We start from the raw sequence: 9679 nt of genomic DNA, 5'->3' as shown, positions 1-9679 counted from the left end.
TTTCCTGAATTTGAATGTTGGCCTTCCTTGCTAGGTTAGGGAAGTTCTCCTGGATAATATCCTGAAGAGTGTTTCCTAACTTGGTTCCATTCTCCCAGTCACTTTCAGGTACACCAATCAAACGTATATTTGGTCTTTTCACATAGTCCCATATGTCTTGGAGGATTTGTTTGTTTCTTTTCACTCTTTTTTCTCTAATCTTGTCTTCTTGCTTTGTTTCATTAATTTGATCTTCAATCACTGATATCCTTTCTTCCACTTGATTGAATCAGCTATTGATGCTTGTGTATGTGTCACGAAGTTCTTGTGCCATGGTTTTCAGCTCCATGAGGTAATTTAAGGTCTTCTCTACACTGTTTATTCTAGTTAGCCATTCATCTAACCTTCTTTCAAGGTTTTTATCTTCTTTATGTTGGTTTAGAACATGCTTCTTTAGCTCAGAGAAGTTTGTTATTACTGACCTTCTGAAGCCTACTTCTGTCACCTTGTCAAACTCATTCTCCGTCCAGTTTTGTTCCCTTGCTGGTGAGGAGCTGTGATCCCTTGGAGGAGAAGAAGTGCTCTGTTTTTTGGAATTTTCAGCTTTTCTGCTCTGGTTTCTCCTCATCTTTGTGGTTTTATCTACCTTTGGTCTTTGATGTTGGTGACCTAGAGATGGGGTTTTGGTGTGGATGTCCTTTTTATTGATATCGATTCTATTCCTTTCTGTTTGTTAGTTTTCCTTCTAACAGTCAGACCCCTCAGCTGCAGGTCTGTTGAAGTTTGCTGGAGGTCCACTCCAGACCCTGTTTGCCTGGGTATCACCAGCAGAGGCTGCAGAACAGCAAATATTGCTGCCTGATCCTTCGTCTGGAAGTTTTGTCCCAGAGGGACACCTGCCTGTTTGAGGTGTCTGTTGACTCCTATTGGAGAGGTGATTCCCAGTCAGGCTACACGGGGTTCAGGGACCTGCTTGAGGAGGCAGTCTGTCTGTTTTTGGAGCTCAAATGCCATGCTGAGAGAACCACTGCTCTCTTCAGAGCTGTCAGACAGGGACATTTAAGTCTGTAGAAGCTGTCTGCTGTCCTTTTTTCTACTATGCCCTGCCCCTACAAGTGCCTCTATAGAGGCAGTAAGCCTTACTGAGTTGTGGTGAGCTCTGCCAAGTTTGTGCTTCCTGGCCTCTTTGTTTACACTGTGAGCTACTGAAGCGTCAGCAATGGCGGATGCCCCTCCCCCTGTCAAGCTGCAGCCTCGCAGGTTGATTTCAGACTGCTGTGCTAGCAGTGAGCAAGGCTTCATGGGCATGGGACCTGCCGAGTCAGGCACAGGAGGGTATCTCCTGGTCTGCTTGTTGCTAAGACTGTGGGAAAGTGCAGTATTTGGTCAGGAGTGTACCATTTCTCCAGGTACAGTCTGTCATGGCTTCTCTTGGATAGGAAAGGGAAATCCCCTGATCCCTTGCACTTCCTGGGTGAGATGATGCCCCACCCTGCTTCAGCTCACTCTTTGTGGGCTGCACCCACTGTCCAGCCAGTCCCAATGAGATGAACCAGGTACTTCAGTTGGAAATGCAGAAATCACCCATCTTCTGCGATGATCTTGCTGGGAGCTGCAGACCAGAGCTCTTCCTATTTGGCCATCTTGGAAGCGACCCCTCTATTTTGAGTTTTTAAAGAAAACCCCATACTGTTTTTCAAAATGGCTGTACTAATTTACATTCCCACCAACAGTACGCGACAGTTCCCTTTTCTTTTTATCCCCACCAACATTTGTCTTTCTCTTTTTGACAAGAGCCATTCCTACGGGTATGAGGTGATATCCCATTGTGACTTTAATTTATGTTTCCCTGGTGATTAGTGATGTTGAGCATTTTTCCATATACCTGTTGGGCATCTGTATATCTTCTTTGGAGAAATGTCTATTCAGGTCTTATGCCCATGTTTAAATGGGATTTTTTTTTCTTGCTATCAAGTTGCTTTATTTTTAATTATTATGGTCACATAATAGTTGTACATGTTTTGGAGGTACATGTGAAATTCTGACCCAAACATACAATACATAATGATCAAATCGGGGTAACTGGGATATTCATCACATCAAGCATTTAACATTTCTTTGTGTTACGAACATTCCAATTCCACTCTTATTTATTTTGAAATATACAATAAATTATTGTTAACAATAGTCAGCCCATTGTGTCACTGAAAGAATATTAACCCCTTACTAGATGTGTGGTTTACAAATATTTTCTTCCATTCTATAAGTGGTCTCTTCACTCTGAAGTGGGTGTGTGTGTGTATATATGTGTTTGTGTGTGTGTATGTATGTGTGTTCTGTGCAGAAGTTTTTAGTTTGATATAATCCCATTTGTCTATTTTGCTTTTGTTGCCTGTGCTTTTGAGATCATATCCAAAAAACTTTGCCCAGACCAATGCCATTGAAGTTTTCCCCTATGTTCTTCAATATGCATTTTTCAAGCGGATGAATAAAGTAAAAAAAAAAAACCTATGGAAATTATGTGCTGTGTTTTCAGCATTATAATTACCACAGAGTTAAATATTTTGGTTGGCCCTGAGCCATCTACCAGACAATGTCCTTTCTGCTTCTCAGAAGTTGCAATTTAAGGTGGAATTCTAAAGCTGAGAGACAAGTTACATATCAGGACTAGTGGTTTAGTTCAGATCAAAAAGTATGTATTGAGCATAAACTATGTGTTAGGCACTATTTTAATTTCTGGAGTACAAAAGCAAATAAAAATATGATCTGTGCTCTTTAGAAACTTACAATCTAAAGGCAGATGAGCACACAGTAAATTTAAAGTTACTATGGCAACTATAACAAAAGGCATTTATATTAGTTAACTTAGCAGGGTCATTTAACAGAGGGAAAGCTACCTAGTACAGAGGGCAACTAAAATTTGTCTAGAATTATGAAAGAAAATTATTCAAATGAGAAAAAATAAAGGTGTAGGGAACTGCATGCAAAGGTGCATATAGCTAGAAAGGTGTGGCATTTCTGATAAAATAGAGGTCATTTAGTTCTATCACTACATGCAGTAAGAGTTGGACACTGCAGGAAGTGGGACTAGAAAGGCAGAAGTGCCTCCATCAAAGAAGTGAATGCGTCATTTCCCATGGCTCATTGTAACTACTCTCTGTGTGTCATGACTAACAATGTAATGACAAGCATAAAGAGTGTTATTCTTTCAGGATTGGTAGGGAAAAGAGGAAATGGACCTTGGTCAGCATCCCTGGAGAAGTCTTCCTACACACCATCTCAGGTCCTGATGCAATGAATTATCTCATATCTTCCCCAAAGTACCATCTCATTCAGTGAAAAGCTGAGTCGTTGGAGTGGGGTTGCCTTCATGACCCCAGACAAGCAGATCCACCAGTATGTAATTCCAGCTTGAGAGAGCTGCAGGCATATAACTCCAATCCATGAAAGCTGAGGCATGTCTCACAGCTGTGGGGAAGAGCCTCCCAAACCCATGGGGGCCCAACCTTGCACAGAAAAGCTGCAGGAACAGAACTTCCACTCAGTGGGTCCAGAACGTGAGACCTCTGTCCCAATGAGTATAGAGGGTAGAGTATTGGATCAAAGAAGATTATTCTGAAGCCTCAAGATTTAATGTTGCATGTGCTGTTGGATTTTAGACCTGCCTGGGAGATGTCATTTCTTTCTTTCTTTTTTTCATGTCTCTCCCTTTTGGATGGGAATTTCTGTCCTATGCCCTGTCCCACAGTTGTATTTTGGAAGCACATAACATGTTTGAATTCACAGGTTCAGAGCTGGGGAGCTATTTGCCTTAGGATGAATTCTATCTTGAATATTACCCATATCAGATTTAGATGATATTTATATGAGACTTTAAATTTTTGAGTTGATGCTGGTGTCACTTAAAACTGTCGGGGCTATTGGGATAAAATAAATCTCTCTCACACGTGAAAATAAAATGAACTTTGGGGTTCCAGGGGTAGAAGGCTATAGTCGGGATATTTTTGTACCCCCAAAATTCATATGTTGAAATCCCAACCCCCAAAGTGATGGTATTAGGAGGTGGTGCTTTTGGGAGGTGATTAGGTTATAAATGGCAGAGTCCTCATGAATGGAATTAGTGTCCTTATAAAAGAGGCCCAAGATAGATTCCTCACCTCTTACATCATGCGAGGACAGAATAAAGAGCATCATCTATGAACCCAGAATTTGGTGATCTCACCAGACACCAAATTTGCTAGCATCTTAATCTTGGACTTCTCAGCCTTGAGAACTGCAGAAATACATTTCTGTAATTTATAAATAACCCAGTTTATGGTATTTTGCTATAGCACCCTGAATGGACTAAGACAGTTATGAATAAGATAAAACCCACCACTTTTTACTGAAATAAAATTTTTCACTTGGTTTGGATATGATGATGGTTGTTTCTGTCAGGTTTTGACTAACCATACTTAATCTTCAGGTAAAGCTGGGGTGGAGCAGAGGTTTTGGTTAATAGTTCTTCTAACACTTTAAAAACTCCTGTCAGGAAGCATATCATGACAACATTTAGTGTGTTAATAAAATGTAACATTGGGCCCAGAATGAATTTGATCATCCAGTGGATCAAATTTTCATGCTGCTTGGCTTCTGAGTGAAGATGCTGCTTGTGTGACTTGTGGAACCTAGAGCAACCCCACAGAGATCCAAAGCTGAAGAGAATTGTTAGGGCAAGAATAAGCTTAGAGACTGCAGGCAGTCATTTTTCTCAGCATGGGAAAACAATAGAATAGATTTTGAAGATCCAGTATGAAAAAAATGTAAACTATCTTATTAAGAAGTTTATATTGATTACATGTTAAATGATAACATTTCAGATATACTGGGTTAAATTAACTAGATGATTAAAAGTAACTTCACATTGTTTCTCTTTTTAATAGTGTAGCTACTAGTAAATTTAAAATTAAACATGCACATCTTATTATGTTTCAGCTAGACAGTACTACTCTAAAAGCATGTTTCAAAGTACATAAATGATCATTCTCTTGACGTCACCTAATTTCATGTGTGTGTCATTTCATAAGGTGTTTATCAACATTTTTTGGAACTTGTAGTTAATTTCAGTCAGCTTCTTATGAAGGCCACATAAACAATGTAGCTTGAAAGAGTCTGATGTATTTTCTTGCCTAAACATCCTTATTCCATGTGGGATGTGGCATGCCATCTTTCCTCTAAACCACAAATGATGAGCAATCTACAAACACTTCATGTGGATTATATGGGTTATCAACTGAATGTTCTTCCTGTGGGTATAAGAGTAACTCTGACTAATGAAAATCTTACAGAAAATTTCCAGCTGCCTCTTAAGGCATCAGCTGTCAATTTATATCCAATACCAAAATACATTTTTTGATTTATACAGGAAATGACCATTGATAGGTTCAGAAATTATAAACACAGAGAACCAAAAATACAACTGTTTAATTTCATGCTGGAGGAGAACACAGATATTCATTATTAAAATACAACATAAATGATTTAACCTTAATTGAACTATATTCCCTCAGAACTTAAGTTTGTGAGAATGGCTGGGTAAGGTGTGGCATCCTAGGAAAATGGAAATGCTGGAGAGTGACATCAGCAAGATGGTTGACTAGAAACTCCTAGTGCCCTTTTCCCCTCACACACATAGAAAGGCCCCAAAATAACAAATAAACAACTACATTTTGACCGAAATAACTAAAGGAGAACACTGAGCAACAGCAAAGATGCAGCAGAAATTCTGTAAAGGAAACTAAACGTGGCCATGTAGAGAAGAGACGGAAACATCTTGCCTTTGTCACCCCATCTCTCTAGTGGAGATCAGCTTGGAATCAGGAGGGGCTTTTCCCTGTGGAGAAAATGTAAGCAAACAGACCCCAGTGCCCCCCATCAACCCTGCACCTGCAGTCTTTGCTACTGGAGACTTCTGAAGTCCTCACAGTCTCTAAGCCCAGCTGAGGGAACTCTCAGACTCCATAGACTTCTCCTTCCAGAGAAGGAGCTGACACTGTACCTAACCCCTGTGGCCAGTGCTGCTGCTGCTGCTCTGTGCTATCTTCTAGCAAAAGCCACTGCAAGAGTGTGTTCTGCTTTGGGGTCAAGTGGCCATTGCATCCTTCCACTGCACCGTGCCTACCCAGTAGCATGCCATCCCCAAGAAGAGCTGCTGATATGTCCTACTCACTAGTGCCAAGCTACCACACAGCCACACCATCCCTCCATCCCAGTTGCTGGTATATCTTCCCTTTAGGATCAAACTGAAGTGGTTCCCTGACCTTGGGGACACAAAACCTTGAAGTACTAGGGCAGCCATGCCCTCCATACCACAGTGGAAGCAGCACTCTACTCCCCAGGGACCTCAGGCCTCTGACACACCAGAGCAGTCATGCCCTCAACCACAGAGCAGACATGATTCTCCCTGTCTCAGGATTTCAGGCCTCCTCCACACTGGGGCAGTTACCACTCCCATGACACGGATAAGGTAGCACTTTATCTGCCCAGGGGCTTCAAGCCTCTGGCACATCAGAGCAATTGCATCTCTCAACATCACAGCTACCATGATTCCATGCCTAGGGATCCAGTAGCTTAGGTAGCCCTGTTTTCTGAGGCTGAGAAGATGCAGTGCCTTGCACTCCAGGGAATTAGAGTCTTGGCTGAGCTGTGTCACCCTGCCCTTCTAGCTGAACAGCCACAGCACCCTACCTACTGGAACTGTACTATCCCCGGCACTTGCGCTGCTGAGGTACTCTGCCTCTCCAGGGAGTACAGTCATCACTGCAGTGTTCCTTGCTCTCCAGGGCCCAAACCACAGAGGCATTTTGCCATTACTGGGGCCTTGTTGCTGCTGCACCTGAACTCCCAGAGCCTGGGCTACCACTGTGTCACATCATTCCAAGGACCAGAGTCAACACTGTGTGGTACCTCACCCCTGGAGCCTGAGCTGCTGCTGCGTCCTATTAGTTCCATGTACTGAATTCCAACTGTGCCCTGCTTCATGGAGTCTGAGCCTCCAGAGCAGCTCTTCTTCCCCAGAGCTGTACCAGTGCTGTCCCCTTTCCCCCAGAATAAGAATCATGGCTACATTCCAGCCTCCTGGGCCCAAATTGCTGGATTGCTGAATGGAAGAATGACATTCACTCATGCTTTGAATAGTAAATTTGGACCTTATATCCTAGTCAGTACAGTAGTTTTGCAAGACCCTAGGCCTATAAACCTGGCTCTACCTGAGCCCATAAACCTGGCTCCACAGCTGCTCCAAGCACTTTCCCCTTATGCCCTGGATTCTAGTGCCACAGTGGCTGCCTGTGAGCCATGTTAGACCTAACACCAAGAAAGATCACCTTAGCTAAGATGCCCCACTGTCAGGAAGACAAGAACAGGAGGATTCCTAATGCTTTTAACTGAGGTACCCATAGTCATCACTAATACTGATCACAACAAAAGAAGCTGCACAGAGACCACACCGCTGTTTCTGCATGTAATTAGAGCCACCCCACCATGCCCAATCATCATCCTCAGGCCCATCTGCAGGTAAAAGTGTTCCCTTACAAAACCACTCTGTAAAATCTGGAAGAGGTGACTGTGCCACCAGAAGCACAGATGTCTATGCAAGAACACAAGAAACAGGAAAAAGCAAGAAAACATGATGCCACAGAAAAAATGCAAAAATTCTTCAGTAACTGCCCCCAAAGAAGTGGACATTTATAAATTGCCTGAAAAGAAATTCAAAATATGATATTAAGCAGACTCAGAAAGATACAAAAGAATTCAAACAGGCAATTGAATAAAATGAAGGGAACTTCGTGATCAGAATGAGAAATTCAACAAAGAGATAGATATCACACAAAGAAAGAACTAAACAGAAATCTTGGAACTTAAGATTTTAATTAATGAAATAATACAATTGAAATAATCAATAATGAACCACATTAAGTAGGAATATAGCAGCTGTGATTGAAGGTAGTTCTTTCAAAATAACTCAGAGGAAAAAGAAGAATAAAGAATAAGAAAGGATGAAGATAGCCTACAGGACTTCTGAAACATCATTAAGTGAACAAATATTCACATTATGAAACTTCCAGAGAAAGACAGGACAGAGAAAGGAACATAAAGCTTATTTTAAAAAATATTTGCTGAAAACTTCCCAAGTGTGAGGAGAGATATGGACATCTAGATCCATGAAACTCAAAAGTCTCCATATAGACTCAACCCAAAGACATCCTCCATGAGGCACATTATAATCAAACTGTCAAGGTCAAAGACAAAAAGAGAATTTTTAAAACAATAAAAGTAAAGCATCGTGTTACACATTAGACTATCAAAATATTTTCAGGGGAAACCTTCAGATCAGGAAAGAATAAGACAATATATTCAAAATGCTGAATGAAAAAAAAGTCAGCCAAAAATTTAATAACCATCAAAGCTGTCCTTCAGAAATGAATGAGAAATAAGGTCTTTCACAGACAAACTAAAGTTGAGGGAATTCATTACCACTAGACCTGCCTTACAAGAATCCGAGTTTTTCAAGTGGAAACGAAATTTTGATCATTACTATCATAAATACATATGAAAGTATAAAACTGGTAGAGGCAAATACATAGTCAAATCCAGAGTATTTTAATACTGTAACGGTGCTGTGTAAATCACACTTATTTCTACTATGAAGGTTAAAAGTCAAAATGGTAAAATGTAACTAAAGCTACAAAATATTTGTTAAGGAGCACACAATCTAAAAAGCTATAAATTCTAGCATCAAAATCATAAATGATGGAAAAGTAAAAGTCTGGAGGTTTTTGTATGCAACAGAAGTTAAGTTGTCATCAGCTAAAAATAGTAGATTATATCTATAAGATGTTTTACGTAAACATCTACAGCAGATATACAAATGATAAAGCAAAAGAAATCAAAGCTTAGCATTACAGACAACTATCAAATCACAAAGGCAGACAACAAGAAATAAAAAAGAAAGGAACAAAGAACCCACAAAACAACTGGAAAACAGATAATAAAATGGTAATAATAGTACTTAACTATCAATATAGCCTTGAATGTAAATGGATTAAATTTTCCAGTCAAAAGACACAGAGTGGCCTGCCTGCAAGAGACTCACTTAAGCTTTAAGAATACATAGGCTGAAAGTAAAAGGATAGAAGAAAGTATGTTATGTAAATGGTAACTAAAAGAGAGCAGGAGTGGCTACATCTATGTCTGATAAAATAGAATTCAAGTCAAACACCGTCATAAAAGTCAGAGGTCATTATTTAATGTAAAAGGATGAATTCATCAAGAAGACATAACCATTATAAATATATATGCAATCAACATTGGAGCACCTAAATACACAATCAAATGTTAATGGAAATGAAAGGAGAAAGAGCAGATAGCAATAATAGTAAGATATTTCAATACCTCACCTTAAACAATAGATAAAACAGACACACTATTAATAAGAAAATGCTTGACTTGATTTGCGCTTTTGACAAAAGGGACCTAACAGACATAAATAGAATTTTCCATTCAACAACAATAGAGTGCACATTTTTCTCCAGCGCACATTAAATATTCTCCAGGACAGATCACATTCTGGCCACAAAACAAGTCTTAACAAATTTAAGAAGATTGAAATGATGTCTACCATTGTTTCAGACCAAAATGATATAAAACTAAAAACCAATAA

At 40.1% G+C, this 9679-nt stretch overlaps 1 annotated feature.

Annotated features, from left to right (window-relative positions):
• Positions 2600-3799: an enhancer, noted in NCBI's record as "CDK7 strongly-dependent group 2 enhancer chr4:75368878-75370077 (GRCh37/hg19 assembly coordinates)". NCBI's record gives its function as "activates an origin of replication core promoter dependent on BRD2, BRD4, P300/CBP, MED14 and CDK7 cofactors, with strong dependence on CDK7, by STARR-seq in HCT116 cells {active_cell/tissue: HCT116}" and the evidence as "EXISTENCE:reporter gene assay evidence [ECO:0000049][PMID:35650434]".

The sequence above is a fragment of the Homo sapiens genome, chromosome 4 (assembly GCF_000001405.40).
Source record: "Homo sapiens chromosome 4, GRCh38.p14 Primary Assembly".
NCBI lineage: Eukaryota > Metazoa > Chordata > Mammalia > Primates > Hominidae > Homo > Homo sapiens.
Note: the sequence above shows the minus strand (reverse complement) of the source record. Positions and strands in the feature narration are given on the sequence as shown.